Source organism: Homo sapiens, chromosome 6 (assembly GCF_000001405.40).
Source record: "Homo sapiens chromosome 6, GRCh38.p14 Primary Assembly".
Taxonomy (NCBI): Eukaryota; Metazoa; Chordata; class Mammalia; order Primates; family Hominidae; genus Homo; species Homo sapiens.
In genome coordinates this window covers 154008702-154026786 of record NC_000006.12, presented here as the reverse complement: position 1 = coordinate 154026786, position 18085 = coordinate 154008702, and the positions used below count along the sequence as shown (strand labels likewise).

The 18085-nt window shown below is 35.1% G+C and overlaps 1 protein-coding gene across 3 annotated transcripts in view; it reads right to left on the bottom strand.

Moving 5' to 3' along the window:
- OPRM1 (opioid receptor mu 1) overlaps positions 1–16291 on the bottom strand; it is a 236372-nt gene extending 220081 nt beyond the window's left edge. For 2 of the 3 annotated variants that reach the window (NM_001145279.4, NM_001145280.4), the window contains exon 1: positions 15769–16291. Coding sequence is in view for 1 of the 3 variants with exons in the window: in NM_001145281.3 (NP_001138753.1) it covers positions 16228–16274 (47 nt within the window). In the remaining 2 variants the exon portion in view is untranslated. The remainder of the gene's footprint in view (positions 1–15768) is intronic. The other variant, NM_001145281.3, reaches the window with a different exon arrangement.

The following is an 18085-nucleotide window of genomic DNA, read 5'->3' as shown; positions in this document are numbered from 1 at the left end:
AAATTATAGAGATGAAAAATGCAACTGACATACTGAAGAATACATCACAGTCTTTTAATAACAGAATTGATGAAGCAGAAGAAAGAATTAGTGAGCTTGAAGACAGGCTATTTGAAAATACAGTCAGTGGAGACAAAAGAATAAAGAATAAAAAACAATGAAACAAAGAAGCACACTTACAGGATCTAGCAAACAGCCCTCAAATGGGCAAATCTAAGAGTTATTGGCCTTAAAGAGGAAGTAGAGAATGAGATTAGGGTAGAAAGTTTATTCAAAGGGATAATGACAGAGAACTTCCCAAACCTAGAGAAAGATAGCAATATTTAAGTATAAGAGGGTTATAGAACACTAAGCAAATTTAATCTAAAGAAGACTACTTCAAGGCATTTAATAATCAAACTCCCAAATGTCAAAGGTAAAGAAAGGATCCTAAAAGCAGCAATAAAAAAGAAACAAACAACATACAATTTAGCTCTAATATGTCTGGTAGGCAGCCTTTTCAGTGGAAACTTTACAGGCCAGGAGAGAGTGGCATGACATATTTAAAGTGCTGAAAGAAAAAAAAAAATTTACCCTATTTCTGCATCAGATATACTTTAAACATGAAGGAGAAATAAAGACTTTCCCAGACAAACAAAAGCTGAGTATTTCATCAACACCAGACCTGTCCTACAAGAAATGCTAAAGGGAGTACTTCAATCAGTAAGAAAAGGACATTAATGAACAAAAAGAAATCATCTGAAGGTACAAAACTCACTGGTGATAGTAAGTACACAGAAACCCACAGAATATTATAACATTATAACTTTAGTATGTAATCTAAACTTACCTTAAGTAGAAGGAATAAATAACAAACCAATAAAAAATAATAACTACAGCAACTTTTCAAGACATAAGCAGTACAATAAGATATAAATAGAAACAACAAAATGTTAAAAAGTAGGGGGACAAAGTTAAGGTTTAGAGTTTTTTGGGGTTTTTTACCTGTTTGTTTGTTTATGCAAAAAGTGCTAAATTGTTTTCAGGTTAAAATAATGAGTTACAAGATAGTATTTGCAAGCCTCGTGGTAACATAACCCCTCCCCAAAATACACAGGATACACAAAAAATAGAAAGCAACAAACAAAACCATATAACCAGAGTAAATTACCTTCACTGAAAGGCAGATAGAATGGAAAAAAGAAGGAAGATAAGACCACAAAACAACCAGAAAACAAATAACCAAATGGGAGGAATAATTGCTTACTTATCAATAATAACATTCAATGTAAATGTACTAAACTCTCCAATCAAAACATAAAGAGTAGCTGAATGGATGAAAAATAAAGACCCATTGATCTGTTGCCTAAAATAAACACACTTTACCTATAAAGATACATATACACTGACAATAAAAAGATAGAAAAAGATATTCCATGTCAATGGAAACCAAAAAAGAGCAGGAGTAACTAACTATACTTGTATCAGACAAAATAGATTTCAAGCCAAAAGCTACAAGGAGAGACAAAGAAGGTTACTATATAATGATAAAGGGGTCACTTCAGCAAGCAGATATAACAATTTCAAATACATTTGCACCCAACATTGGGCACCCCGATATATAAAGCAAGTATTATGAGAGCTAAAGAGAAAGACAGGCCCCAATACAATAATAGCTGGAGACTTCAAAAGCCAACTTTCAACATTAAACAGATCTTCCAGACAGAAAATCAACAAAGAGACTTCACACTTAATCTGTACTATAGACCAAATGGACTTAATACAGAACATTTCACGAAACAGCTACAGAATACACATTCTTCTCCTAAGCACATGAAGCATTCTCAAGGATGGACCATAAACATTAATGTCTAAAACATTCAACAAAATTAAATATCAAGCATCTCCTCTGATCACAATGGAATAAAACTGGAAATCAATATCAAGAGGAATTTTGGAAACTGTTCAAACACATGGAAATTAAACAATATATTCCTGAATGACCAATGAGTTAATGAAGAAATTAAGGAGGAGATTGAAAAAAATTCTTGAAACAAATGATAATGGAAACACAACATACCAAAACCTGTGGGATATAGCCAAAGCAGTACTAAGAGGGAAGTCTGTAGCTATTAAGTGCCTACATTAAAAAAAAAAAACTTCAAATAAGCAACATAATAATGCATCTTAAAGAATTAGGAAAACAAAAACAAACTGAAGATAAAATTAGTAGAAGAAAAGAAATAATAAAAATCAGGGCAGAAATAAATGAAACTGAAATGTAAAAAACAATACAAAAAGATGAACAAAACAAAAAATGAGGTTTTTGAAAAGCTAAACAAAATTGACAAACCTTTAGCCAGACTAACTAAGAAAAAAAGAGGGAAGATCCAAAAAAATAAAAGTCAATAATGAAAGAGAAGACATTAGAACTGATACTGCAGAAATTCAAAGGTAATTAGTGGCTACTATGAGCAGCTATATGCCAAGAAATAGGGAAATCTAGAGGAGATTGACAATTCTTGGACACATACAACCTACCAAGATTGAACCATGAAGAAATCCAAAACCTTAACAAACCAGTAACAGGTAATGAGACAGAAGCCAGAATAAAGTTCTCCCGGTAAAGAAAAGCCCAGGACCTAGTGGCTTCATTACTGAATTTTACCAAACATTTAAAGAAGAACTAATGCCAATCCTACTAAAACTATTCTGAAAAATAGAGGAGGAGGGAATACTATCAAACTCATTCTATGAGGCCAATATTACCCTGATACCAAAACAGGACAAAGACACAGCACAAAAAGAAAACTATAGGCCAAGACCTCTGATGAACACTGATGCAAAAATCCTCAAGAAAATACCAGCAACCTGAATTCAACAATATATTAAAAAGATAATTCATCATGACCAAGTGGGATTTATCCCTGGGATTCAAAGCATACACAAATCAATCAATGTGATACATAGTATCAACAGAATGAAGGCCAAAAACCATATGATCATATCAATTGATACTGAAAAAAGCATTTGATAAAATTCAATATTCCTTCATAATAAAAACCCTCAAAAAACTGGGGCTAGAAGGAACATACCTCGACATAATAAAAGCTATATATGACAAACCCCCAGTTATTATCATACCAAATGGGGAAAAACTGAAAGCCTTTCCTCTAAGATCAGAAGCATGGCAGGGATGCTCATTTTCACCACTGTTATTTAACATAGTACTGGAAGTACTTGCTAGAGCAATCAGACAAGAGAAAGAAAGTGCATCCAAATTGGAAAAAAAGAAGTCAAATTATCCTTGTTTACAGATTATATGATCTTATATTTGGAAAACTCTAAGGACTGAATCAAAAAACAACTAGAACGCATCAACAAATTTAGTAAAGTTTCATGATACAAAATCAACATACAAAAATCAGTAGCACTTCTGTATGTCAAAAGTAAACAATCTGAAAAAGAAATCAAGAAAGTAATTCCATTTACAATAGCCACAAGTAAAATTAAATACCTAGGAGTTAAATTAACCAAAGAAGTGACAGATGTCTATAGTGAAAACTATAAAAAAAGTAATAAAAGAAATGTAAAAGGACACTAAAAAATTGAAAAATATTCCATTTTCATGTATTTGAAGAATCAATATTGTTAAAATGTCCATACTACTGACATCAATCTACAAATTTAATGTAATTTCCATCAAAATCCCAATGACATTCTTCACAGAAAGAGACAAAATCGTCCTAAGATTTATGTGAAACCACAGAAGACCCAGAATAGCCAAAGCTCTCCGAGCAAGAAGAACAAAACTGGAAGAATCACATTACCTGACTTCAAATTGTACTACAGAGCTAAAGTAACCAAAACAGTGTGGTACTGGCATAAAAACAGACACATAGACCAGTGGAACAGAATAGAGAACCCAGAAACAAATCTACACACTTACAGTGAACTCAGTTTTTTACAAAGGTGTCAAGAACATACATTGGGAGAAAGACAGTCTCTTCAATAAATGGTGCTGGGAAAACTGGATATCCATATGCAGAAGAATGAAACTAGACCCTTATCTCTCACCATATACAAAAATCAAATCAAAATGAATTAAAGACTTTAAGTCCTCAAACTATGAATCTACTACCAGAAAACATTGGGGAAACTTTCAAGGACGTTGGTCTCAGCAAAAATTTATTGAGTAATACCCCACAAGCACAAGAAACCAAAGCAAAAATGGACAAATGATATCATGTCAACTTTAAAAGGTTCCTCACAGCAAAATAAACAATCAACAAACTGAAGAGACAACCTATAGAATGGAGAAAATATTTGCAAACTACTCATCTGACAAGAGATTAATAAACAGAATACAACAACCCTGTGGGGAGCAGGCCAGGCCCCTGCTCTGGAAGGAAGGGCGGAAGCCACGGGGCGTGGAGCAGAGGCTCTTCTCTTCTTCAGGAAATTACTCCAGGATTTGAATCATCACAGGAGATTCATCAGAGGATTTTATACACTTGGGCTGTGGCAGCAGACTAACTACACCACAGCACCAGGCTAAAGAAGGAAAATCACATGATCATATCAACAGATGCAGAAAAAGCATCTAACAGAACCAGCTCTCATTCATGATCAGAACTCTCAGCAAACTAGTGTTAGAGGGGAACTTACTCAAGTTGATAAAGAACATGTACAAAAATATTTCAGCTAACGTCATACTTAATGGTAAGAAATTGAAGCTTTCCCACTAAGATAAGGAGCAAGGCAAGGACGTCTCCTTTCACCAACCCTTTTCAACATCATATTTATCATATTTATTGGAAGTCCTAGCTAATGCAATAAGACAAGAAAAGGAAGTAAAAAGTATACAGATTGGGAAGAAGAAGAAAAAAATAGAACTGCCTTTGTTTGCAGATGACATGATTGTCTATGTAGAAAATCTGAAAGAGTTGACCAAAAAAAAGAGAAAACCCTCCTGGAGCTAATAAGCAATTATAACAAGGTGGCAAAAATGGTTGATATACAAAAGTTAATTGCTTTCCTATATGCCAGCAACAAATAAATGGGATTTGAAATTAAAAACAAAATCCCATTTACAATAGTTCCCCCAAGTTAAATACTTAGGCATAAAGCTAACGAAAATATATAAGACCTTTATGAGGGAATTTATAAAACTCTGATGAAGAAATTAAAAGCTAAATAAATAGAGAAAGATTCCATGTTTTTGGATAAGAAGACTCAATATTATCAAGACATCACTTCTTCCCAACTTGATGTATAGATCCAAGGCAGACCCAATCAAAATCCCAGAAATAATTTCCTGAATATCAACAAACTGATTTTTAAGTTTATAGGGACAGGAAAAAGACCCAGTATAGCAAACATAATATTGAAGAAGCACAAAGTTGGAGGACTGTCACTATTCGACTTCAAGACTTACTATAAAGCTACAGTAATAAAGACAGTGTGGTGGTATCTGCAAAAGAATAGAAAAATAGAACAATGAAACAGAACAGAGAGCACAGGTATAGATCCATATAAATACTATCAACTGATTTTTGATAAAGGAGCAAAGGGAATACAGCGGAGAAAAGTAAGTTTTCAACAAATGGTGCTGAACAATGGGATGTTCACACGCAAAAAGATGAATCTAGACATAGACCTTAAACTCTTCACAAACATCAGCTCAAAATGGATTACAGACAGAAATGTAAAATGCTAAACTATAAAACTCCTAGAATATAGTGTAGAAGAAAATCTAGATGACCTTGGGTTTGAGCTGAATATTTTAGATCCAACACCAAAGGCATGATTGATGAAGGAAATAATTGATAAGCTGTACTTCATTAAATTAAAAACATTTACTCTGTGAAAGCACTGTCAAGAGAATGAAATGACAAGCCACAGACTGGGAGAAAACATTTGCAAAATACTTTTGATAAAGGTTGGTGTCCAAAGTACTCTAAAAACTTACCAAAGAAGACATACACGTGGCAAATAAGCATATGAAAAAATTTTCAACATTGTATGCCCTTAGTGAATTGCAAATTAAAACGAGATACCACTAAATACATATTAGAATGGCTCAAAAGCAAAACATGACCACCACCAAATGCTGGTGCGGTAAGAACTCTCATTCATTGCTGGTGGGAATGCGTGATGGTAGAGCTGTTCACAGTGCCGATCATAATCCGAAAGACAAAATCCCAAATGCCATAATCTCAAATGCCTATAAAGTGTTCGGTTGTGTTTTTATGTTTCTCAAACAAACCTTCTTTACAAATGTAAGTAAATGTCTTTAAAATTTTTTTTAAATTATCTTTCCAGAATTATATTGTGATTTTGGTCTATCAGGATTGGGATTTTGGGGACTTTAGACATTAGGGATTTTGATCTTTTGGGATTTCAACATTTGATATTACAACATTTAGAATGGTATCTTTCAGGAGTATGGCCCAAACCCCAGCCACTGTAGAAAACAGTTTGACAATTTCTTAAAAAACTAAACACCTAGCCACTGTTGAAAACAGTTTGGCAATTTCTTAAAAAACTAAACATATTTTTACCATGCAATCCCATAATCATGTTCCTTGGTATTTACTCAGATGAGTTGAAAAGTTATGTCCATATAAAACCTGCATACAGATGTTTATAGCAGCTTTATTCATAATTGTCAAAATTGGAAGCAACTAAATTGTCTCTCAGTAGGTGAATGGATAAACTGTAGTACATCCAGACAATGGGGTATTTTTCAGGGCTAAAAAGAAATAAGCTATCAGCTGGGTGCGGTGGCTCACACCTATAATCCCAGCAGTTTGGGAGGCCAACGTGGATGGATCACTTGCTCCCAAGAGTTTGAGACGACCCTGGCCAACATGGTGAAAACCCATCTCTACAAAAAATACAAAAATTAGCCAAGCACGGTGGCATGTGTCTGTAGTCCCAGCTACCTGGGGGACTGAGATGGGGGGATTGCTTGAGCCCGGAAAGGAGAGGCTGCAGTGAGCCATGTTTGTGCCTGGGCAACAGAGCGAGACCCTGTCTCAAAAAAAAAAAAAAAAAAGAAAAGAAAAGAAAAGAAAGCCACTAAGCTATGGAAATACATAGAGAAACCTTAAATTCACATTTCTAAGTGAAATGAGCCAATCTGAAAAAGCTATGTACTGTGTGACTTCAACCATATGACATTCTGGAAAAGACAAAACTCTGGAGACAGTAGAAAAGTCAATGGTTGTGAGAGATTGGAGGGAGGGAGGAAAAAATGGGAAGAGTGTACGAATTTTTAGGGCAGTGAAACTATTCTATATGGTACTATAATGGTGAATGCATGTCTTTATATGTTTGTCAAAACCCATAGAATGTACAACACCAAAAGTGAACTCTAATGTAAACTATGGACTTTGGGTGATAATAATATGTCAATATAGGTTCGGTTCGTTGATTGTAACAAAGGCAAGAGGTGTTAATTGTGGGGAGGCTGTGTGTGTGTGTGTGTGTGAGGGAGCAATGGTCATATGGAAATTCTCTGCATTTTCTGCTCTATTTTGCTGTGAACTTAAAACTGCTCTAAAAAATAAAGATGATTTTTTAAAAAAGCATGCTATCAGTAAGCCAAAAAAAAAAAAAAAGCACAACAGGGTGACTACAGTCAATCATAATTTAAGTGTACATTTTAAAATTACTAAAATAATGTAATTGGATTGTTTGTAACACAAAAATAAATGCGCGAGAGGTTGGGTGCTCGATTTGGCATGATGTGATTATTACACATTGCATGCGTGTATCAAAACATACCATGTACCCTATAAGTATATACACCTACTAGGCACCCATCAAACTGAAATTAAAAAATAAAAAAAAGTAATATTGTTAAGAAATTTGTGATATAAGGAAAAACAAAATTTGTGGAGGAGAAATTATGTGTTCAGAAAGAGAAGATATTAATACAGGTGCAAGTGAGGTTCCTGGAAAATAGTCTAATGCTGGATATAAGGAAGGTGGGCCTTGAACCCAAATAGAACACATTTTGTTTCAATAGAACACACTTTGTTTTTCCGTATAAACCATGCAGAGAAAGTTTATCCTGGGTCAGGGGATAGTAGTATTCTCAGGGGTTGAGTCTTCATTCCCGAACCTGTAGTTTGGATAGGAGAATGACATTGTGATTTGAAAAGAGTATCAAATGTTTTCTCTTGGGACAATATCAGAAGACTTAATCTGTTTTTATTATTTACTAGGACTATAATTGGTTTTGGTCTCCCACATTTTTGATATGCAGGGCCAGAAAAGACAAAAAAAAAAAAAAGAATTAACGGGGCACAATAGAAAATGAGAAAGAACTTGGAACCCAAGGATGTATATTTTCTTCTTTTTGTTTGTTTGTTTGTTTTTGAGACAGAGTCTCACTCTGTCACACAGGCTGGAGTTCAGTGGCCTGATCTCAGCTCACTGCAACCTCTGCCTCCTAGGTTCAAGTGATTCTCGTTCCTCAGCCTCCCAAGTAGCTAGAATTACAGGTGAGAGCCACCATGCCTGGCTAATTCTTTATATTTTTAGAAGAGAGAGAGTTTCACCATGTTGGCCAGGCTGGTCTCAAACTCCTGACCTCAAGTGATCCATCCACCTCGGTCTCCCAAAGTGCTGGGATTACAGGCATGAGCCACAGTGCCTGGTCCCCAAGAATATATTCTTGGGAGAAAAAAATCTCTTTGTTTATACCTGAGTGCCCGCAGCTGCATGTTAAACAAAAATCAGAAGATTTCAGTGAATCTTTTGTCTGTGGTTTCCCTGGGGAGTGCTGTAAATACCTACATTATTCTACATGGTGAAGAGTTCAGTGCCTCTCACTTGGTGTGTGATCATGAATACGTACTGTTTGATTGATTGAACAGTTGGCTTAATTGACTAGGTGGTTTGAGTGGGTAGATGAAAAGGAAACAGCACAGTTATATAGTAACATATCACTTCCACTTAAATGGTCTTATTTGACTTTTTGATTGAGCAGGAATTATTTTATTTCAATTTTTCTAATTCAGAAGCTGATGCTCAAATCATTCCAAAAAGTTAACCATGGTCACCTGTATGAAAAATAGCAGAATGGGAAATCGAGGAAGTTAGGTGTTGGGGAGGCTTTATGGCTCCTTCAGACTTCTTCCCTTTATCCCTTCTCATAACTTATGGGTATGAACAATAAATTTTCTTGACTGTCTGCCAGACAGTGTATTGGGTACTTTCCTTGAATAACCACATGAGATAGGTTCTGTCCTAAGTCTCTGTATCCAGGTGCGTGAACTAGGCTCTGTGGAAGATGGAGTGAATGCCTTCAGAGAGCATCCTCTTTAGCCAGGACAGTCTGCCCTGATCTCATGTACGCCTGTGCCCCAGTGCCATTAAAAGCCTACAAGAGACGCTGTCCATCATAAATACCTGGATTGATACGCATGGCAAAACGCACTGTGACCATATCAAATCTCAGTTAGATTTTTGGCTGTGACAAAAAATCAATACTCGCCCATGCATTTACTTAACAAATATTTATCAGGCATCACCTATTTGTCAGGCACTAGTACCAAGTACTTAGTTAAAAGAGTAAAAACACAAATTCCCTGGTTTAATGGAGCTTATGTTGCAGAGGGAGGAAAGAAAGATGGGGTGTGAGAAGGAAGAGGAAGAGAGAGGGAGAGAGGAGAGAAATTAGTTTCATGTAATGTCAGATGGTGATAAGTGCTAGGGAGATAAGTCAATTTTGTGTCAAAATCAGCTTGATAGCTCAATGAAAAAGTAAGCTAAGAAGTAAACTGAGATATTTGTATTTGATTACATAAACAGGATCATATCCATTAAGGGAACAAACCCCAATCATTATTTCTGGATACAATCAGTAACCATTGTGGGTTTTTTCTGTTTGTTTTCAGAGAAATTTTTTCTGTTTATTTGGCTAGTGACCTGATTTCCAATTGAGAAACTCTCCACCAGACTCCGTCTCTTTCTGCTGTATACTGGAGCTCTTATCACAGTGAAAAATACAGTCCACACGTATGTGTTTTCACACATGCCAACATAGCTGTTGTGTATTCCTAACTTTAGAAAATAACTTAATGTCATATGACAAAATTTGAATTAGAATTCCTAAACTTGAAAATAACTTTCAGCATAAGTTCTTCAAATTCACTTCTATAAATTACAGTGTTGCAATATGTTTTATCAGCAATTTAAATTCTTATCAGAGTCAGGTATACAAAGTAAAGTACATTCTAAAGAAGTTTAGCTACTCTTTACTCACTGCCTTTTCCCCTTCTTCCCTCACTTAAAGGTAATTTAAAAATTTTGTTTTCTCCATAAATTGTTACCGTAAACAGATATGTATATGTATTAACAGTATATTCTCTTCTATCCTTAGGTAATTGTTGTCACACTACACAATTTTATCTCCTCCCTACTTTCTTATGCTTTTTGTGTATAATTTTATAACCTGCTACTTTAATATAGTTTCCTGTGATAGTACATAATGATATGCAGAGACATATTTCACTGCTTTTTATAATTGTAAACTATTTTTGCATGTGTGTGGAATTACCATACTTTATTCAACCAGTGCCTTATTAATGAACATTTGAGTTGTTCTCTGACATTTGCTGTTCTAAACAGGAGTACAGTGAATTGCCCTGTGCATTTTGGATTTTTGCCACTGTGTCTTTGAGGTAGATTCCTAGAGTTAATGCTGGGTCAAAGGATACACGCATATGTAATTTTGCTAGATATTATTAACTTTCTTTCCTTGGAAATTGTACATTTTGCAACTCTACAAGAAATATATATGAGTGTCTGATTCTTCATGAATTTGACAACAGAATGTGATTTCAACCTCTTGGATTTGTGCTGATCTAGTAGGTGAGAAATGATATCTCAGTGTAGTTTTAATTTTATTTCTCTTATCAGTGAGGTTGACCATCTCTCAGAGTTAAGAGCCATTTGCTTTCTTGTGAGATCTCTTTAATTTTCTGTCCTGTTTAAAAATAGGGTCTGTTTTTTCTTTATTTTAGAAGATCTTTATATATTAGAGATATAGCACTTAGCTATTTTTTTTCAGTTTGTCATTTGTCTTTATTTGCTTATGATTTTGCCATACCAAAAATATCTTTTTATTTTATGTATTCATATTCATCAATTTTTTCCTGTATTACTTCTGGACTTCGAGTAGTAGCGTGGCAGTTTTCCCACTCTCAGATTATAGAATTTACCCATGTTAACTTCTAGTACTACAGGGTTTAATTTTTTAGAATCTACTTTTTGATCCCTTCGGAATTTATTCTCATGTATGATGTAAGAGACTGATCTAATTTTTGTCTTTTTCCATATGGCTATCAAATTATCTCAATTCAAGTTACTAAAAAGTTCATCTTTTCAGTTTAGACTTGAGATTCCATCTTTATTGTATCCCATATTTTCTATGTATGTATGTATATGTAACCAAGTTGATTTCAGAATTTTTAAATTTTGTGCCATTAGTCTCTCTGTCTTTTTACATAACACATTCTACACCGTTATGAGACTTTTAGTGGATTTTAATAACAAATAAGACTGGCCACTCTCTCCATATGTTTGCTTTTTTTCCCAAATGAACTTTATAATTAACTTCTCAAGCTCTAGAAAAGAAAAACCTGGTGGTTTTCAATGGTGTTGTATTAAATTTCAAAATTACCTGAGGGAGAACTGATCTCCTTATAAGGTTGCTTCTTCCTAAGTAATGGCATATCTTTTCATTTGTTTAAGTTTACTTTTGTGTCTTTGAAGAGTGTTTTCTAGATTTCCTCTAGAGATGTGAACACTTCTTGCTAAAATTTAGCCTAGATGTTTTATATTATTATACATTTTGGCTATATCAGATATGGTCTTCTTTCCCATTGTATCTTCAATTTAGTTATGTGTGCATATAGGATATTGCTTTTGGCAGGCTTACTTTTTATACCCTATGCCTTATTCAATTCTCTTATTGTTTAAGGCAAATTTTATTTTGGAGAATTTTAATTTCATTTCTGCATGGGGATACATAACTTCCATTATAGTAATGGGAAAACTACTTCACTTTAAAATTCAAAACCCCATAGACCTTTTAGAAATGCATATACCACATAAATGAAAGGATATCTGTGCTCAGTGGGCCCAGCAGTAACGTATTCAAGGACATAGCTTATGGTGAAATCTCTGCTTAGCTGGGCTTTTTTTTTTATCTAAATTCAGCATAAGCAAATTTTAAGTCACCTTACCTTCAATAGTCATTAAATTTCCTTTAAGGTACCAGGTATGTAGTTTTGTATATATGATCCTGCATGTCCAATTTATCAATTCCTCTCATTGTCTATGGCTCTTAATATTCACTTTTTTAATGACAACCAGCAGCCTGCTCAGCTTTTTGTCCATTGTAGGAAACCTCTTAAATATAAGGTTATGTTTTTCCATCCCTCATAATCCTTAACTGGCTTCTTATCTTTCTTAGAGTAAAATCAAGTTTCTTCGAATGGCCTACAAGGCCCTACAAGATGTGTGTCCCACCTCACTCCTCCACCACCTCTGTGACCATTTCTACCACACTTCCATCATTTCTTCCATACTGCCTTATGGCGTCTGCACTTGAAATATTTCTTCCAGATATTTCTGTAGCTCACTTATTTACCTCCTTAAGGTGTCTTATCAGTTAGATCAAATAGATCAGTAACCTCTTTCCTGACCTCTCCTTTGGAGTAGCATCCACGCCATGGTAGATGCATCACTGGCCCCATTTCTTACCCTTCCTTGTCTCTATATCCTTTACTATGTGACTCTCCAGTTCCTTCTCTCAATGCGTAGGATGACCTGCTCTGTTCTTTGACTCTAGGATCAACAATATGACTTTCTTTCCCCAATAGAATGAGCTGGAAGTGACAGTGTGCTAGTTCAAGTCTAGGTCTCAAGAAGCCTTGGCTCTTTCCACATGTCTTCCCACTCCTTCCAAAGCCTTGATAACCTGCTCAGACTAACATGCTGGAGGTGGAGACACATACTGGTTGCTCCAGTCACCTTAGCCAGGGTCAGCTTTGATCACCTTTCAGTCAGCCAACCCCCGCCAACATCAGCATAGTTGACAGATCTCAGACACATGAGCAATAAATACGTATTGCTGAAATGTGACAATTTTGTGGCAATAGTAAACTAATGGACACACTATTGATACTTCATTTTACTAAGCTTTATTAAACTTTTACCATTATTCAACCTATTAAATTTTACTTATGTGTTTATTCTACTCTTTGATGTGAACTCCATGAAGGCAGAAAATTTTGTCCAAAATGAAATTGGTTCCCCATAAACATTTGTTGGATGCATAAATTCACAAATTCTTTCTGTAACTTTTGCCAGCATGCATTGATTATTTCAGGCACTTGAATGACATTGCTTATAGAATTTCTCAGTTTATTCTCTCTCTCACAGGCGAATATAAAATGACTAAAATGAAATGAACATAGCTATTTATAAGCTCTTCTAAGAATTTCATGTATTAGTTTTTGAAAGTTTCCTGGCTGTAACTGGTTGGTATTCTATGCATCACATCCTTCATTGTTATTGTTCTCTCTTGATTATTGGATACATTTAAAAAGCAGGAATCAAAATGTTTGAGGCTCAAGGCTAACGTCCACTTGAAAACTCTCTTCCTCTTTTTGGCAGGCCTAAATCATCAAGGATATGATGCAATAAATATTATGAAACAAATTCATTCATATGCTATTTGTGTACCCCCCCAGCCCTGCCAACCACATTCATATGTTGAAACCCTATTCGTCAATATAATGGCATTTGGAGATGGAGCCTTTGGCAGGTGGTTGGGTCATGAGGGTGGAGCTCTTATGATGGGATGAGTGCCCTTATGAGAAGAGACCCAAGAAGGCTTTCTTCCTCTCTCCCTGTGTATGTCATGTGAAGACACAGCAAAGGACGGCTATCTATAAACCTGGAAGAAAGCGCTCACCAGAAATTGATCTTGGACTTCCCAGGCTCCAGAACTTTGAGAAATAAATTTCTGTTGTTTAAATCACCAGTCTATGGTATTCCATTATAGCAGCCCAAACTGATTGAGACACCCACATTTCATTCATTTTTAGAAAACATGTCATAGACCCTATTTTAACTTTTGAACATTGCTGAAAATGAATACATTCAAAGAAAGAAAAAATAATTAATGAAAATATAATAGAAACAGCAATTGTGACCAAATCCTACCTTTGAGTTTAAGACTCCAGGCTGGGCACTATTTGCCACTTTAATCCTTTGGAGAGATAATACCTAAGAGGGCTCGGAAAATAGAATGACACCATAAAGGCCACTGTTTTGCCAAAAGTGGGAACTACAAAAATTTGTATATTCAGCTTAAGTGTGCCCAATAGATCTTAAAGGAAGGAAATACATATATCTATTCATGATCCAGAACAAAAGTTGATGATCCATTTACTGCTACTTTCTGAGGATTAAAAATTCTTAATAATTTAAACATTGTGGAAAGTTTCTATTATAACAGTGATTAGAAAACTAATGTTTATTTCTACTGAGCTTTACTTGCTTGAGATTATTTCAGAAATTTGTCAACTATTAAAACACAGCTATTAAAAATCGTAGCTTGTTACACTTCTATTATTTAGCCCATAGTTATGTCCAAACCTTTTGTTCAGTCCAAACCTTTTGCTGAAGCAACAATGATTGTAAATACTCAATTCCATTGGTGTTATTGATTTAGTCTCATCATATAACTGCTAAAAATGCAATTAAGGAAGATATTTCAGTTTTTACATTTGGAAGTGGAAGTCCAATAACTTAAATTATTTAGTTGACAGTTGAAGTATTGCTTGAATTCATTGGAAAGTAGACTCACGTTGACTCTCAAAGTATCACCCTTTTTATTTCTGAATGAATCTTTTTTCATAATGTTAAATCCAAGTTCCCTGCAAACATTGATGTGACATAATTTTAATAGTACCATCTGTATTAGTTGTCCATCTGTGAAATAAATAAATAAATGGGCCTATTTTGTGCTCATTCTAATGGCTGTCAAAGATGACTTCTTTTTGAAAAGAGGAAATGTTCTAAAATAGTCTACACACAAATAAAGTGGAAAACTGTGACATCATTTTGAAAGTTGTTGTGGTCGGAATAATTTTTACTTTTTCTTGAACATTCATGTAATTGAAAAATATGTATTTTTTCAACTAAAATTACTTGGGCTTAAATTCTTTGTATGAGCATTGTGTTGAATACACATGCATATAGGTGTACAAAGATAATTATGCATTCTTAAAGCAGTTTATGTTTACACTAAAAAATACCACTTTTGTGAAACTTTTTAATCTGTCAGAGCTTTTCTTCTCTTTGCTATTGGCTGATTTTTGTAAATATTAATTTCCTTAGCTGGGAGTCCTAGATTTCTCTATAAGTTGTCCAAACTGCCAACTGTCTGATAAAGTTAAGAAGTCACCATAGGAACTCCGAAATAATTTCTATAAAACCATAATTTGGCATAAAAATCACTTACTCTATGGCCACTGTGAGAAAACACAGACATGCACACACACACTTTATCATTTAACCCACAAAATTGTTAACTACTATTTTTGTGCTTGGTATTCCTTATTTCCTGCTCTTACATCACAGGGACAAGGTAGAATGTATAGCATTTAAGAGATGAGTGTCAAGCAGCCCTTACTCCTCCTCTTCCAGCAAATGCAATGAAAAGGATTTCTTCAACAAAATAAATGAGCTGTACCCTACCCTGGACCATGCTATTTCAGCATTGTGCCTTGTGCTGCTTCTCCTGCCACAGTGTGAGAGGATATCAGAGTTCTGTGCTCCAGGTTTCCAGGAAACATTTTGATGGGATGTAAGGGCTGGTCCTTCTCATAGAATTACATTTATTGCATGTAGCAACCACAAGAACAAGGGGCTGCAATTACAGGAAAAGCAGGAGCCCTTTTCTATCATCTCAGAGCAGCCCAGTTCTGCCACATCCACTTGACCGAATTCTCTTGTTTGTAGGAGAAAGGGGCAATTCATGCAGGCAAAGTCATGTCCACACACTGAATCCAGAAGCCTGTCTGACCCGGCTGCTTTTTCATGCTTGCTTTCCTATCTTCCAGTGAGTTTTCAGGATGCAAACTTAGTGCAGGCATACAATATTGTGACAGATCACACTTCCTTTGAGCTCAGAGGAGTATTTTCTTCCAAATGAACCTGGAGGGCTTCCCAGCTTTGGTGCTGATGGATTTAGCCCTCATCATTTTCTTTACAGGAAGACAAACAAAGAGTTATTGGTGGGAAGGAAATCTTGAACAACAAGTAAATACATATGCAGTGTTGAGCCAAAGACAATTTTGTTTTTGGATGGGATGATTTTGAAATTAAAATTCTAGTTGCCTCTATTCAGATACAAGATCAAAACTGGTTTAGGGTGATTTGACTGAGAAACATCTCTGCTGACTAAAGTAACTACTAATACTCTATTAAAAGGGTGACCTTTCCAAATAGAGAGACCATTTTTTTCTTAAGAGAAGATAATATACTAACACTTGTCATTTATGAAGGTCTATGGTCCAGGCACTGTTTAAATTCATTTAATCCCCACAACAATGCTGTGTAGTAGGCATTTTCTTTATCCTCATTTTATAGGTTGGAAACTGGAATAGAATATAAAAATAACTTGCACAAGTTTACAGAGTTAGTAGGAAGTAAAATTGAACATCAATTGCGTAGTCTGCTTCCTAGCCTATGTTTCTAACCATTTTCCTCTACTGTTGCTCATTACAATATATCTTCAGCATTGGCTTTGGTGATGGACAAGCTGGCCTTCGACCCTGGATCTGACACTTCCCAGCTAACTTCCACAAATCTGTTTCCTCATCGTAAATTTAAGATAATAGAGTCAACCTCACTGTGTTTAGAAAAAATGAATAGAATATGCTCGGGACACTTACTTGGGTGGAAACTCTTCAATTAAAAATTAGTCCCTTTACTTAAATTTTACATGTTGTCAAATTAAATACCAAAACAAGTTTCTCGGCTGTCTCCTTGCAGTGAGATGCCCTTCCCATTCCCTCATCTAAGCTTATTTATCTGTCCTTTGATTATCTATATGTCTCTCACATGTGGGAGAAGAACTAAAGAATTTTCATATTTGCTGAAAATATCCTGCAAGTTTGGCTGTTTTTTCTTTTTTCAGTGAAATTATAAGATAACCTCATTTTGAAGTGACATCTGAGGTCAAGCTCTCTGCTTTTGTTCTGGTAGCGCTTGGTTTTATATGGACAGTGAGAAAATGTTTTCATAGTGACCTACATGACAGGAATTACTGCAATTTTATAAGGATCTGTATCACAGACCATTATTTCTTGTTAAATAGAAAGGATATTTTATTCAGGGTTTGTTTTGGTGAGAAACGTGAGAAAATATATGTAAGCACATTAGAAAACCATCTATATTTATAAATTGCCTCCTTTATCCCGTGTCTCCTTCTATTTACCACTTCATGTATTTCCTTCAAACTCATTTCTTCCAAGTTGTCACTCATTCAATCTCGACTTCCTCACTTCCTATCACTTTTCAACCTATTTAACCTAGTTTTCACTTTCATTGTTCCATAGAAATGGCTCTTGACAAGATCACTCTCGACTTTTCTTCTGATAAAACAAATTGACCCAGCTCTTTCCTCAACCTACTCATTTTCTCTTTCTTTTCTTTAATTTTTGTGGGTACATAGTAGGTGTACATACTTATGGGGTACATGAGATACTTTGATAGACATGTAATACGTAATAATCACATCATAGTAAATGATGTGTCCATTGCCACAAGCATTTATCCTTTGTGTTACAATCAAATTATATTCTTTTAGTTATTTTAAAATGTACAATTAAATTATTAACCATAGTCACCCTGCTGTGCTATCAAATACTAGTTTTTATTCATTCTATGTTTTGTACCCATTAACCATCTCCACTTCCCCCTACCCACCCCCTACTAACCTTCCCAGCCTCTGGTAATCATCCTTTTATTCTCTATTCCCATGAGTTCAATCATTGTAATTTTAAGCTCC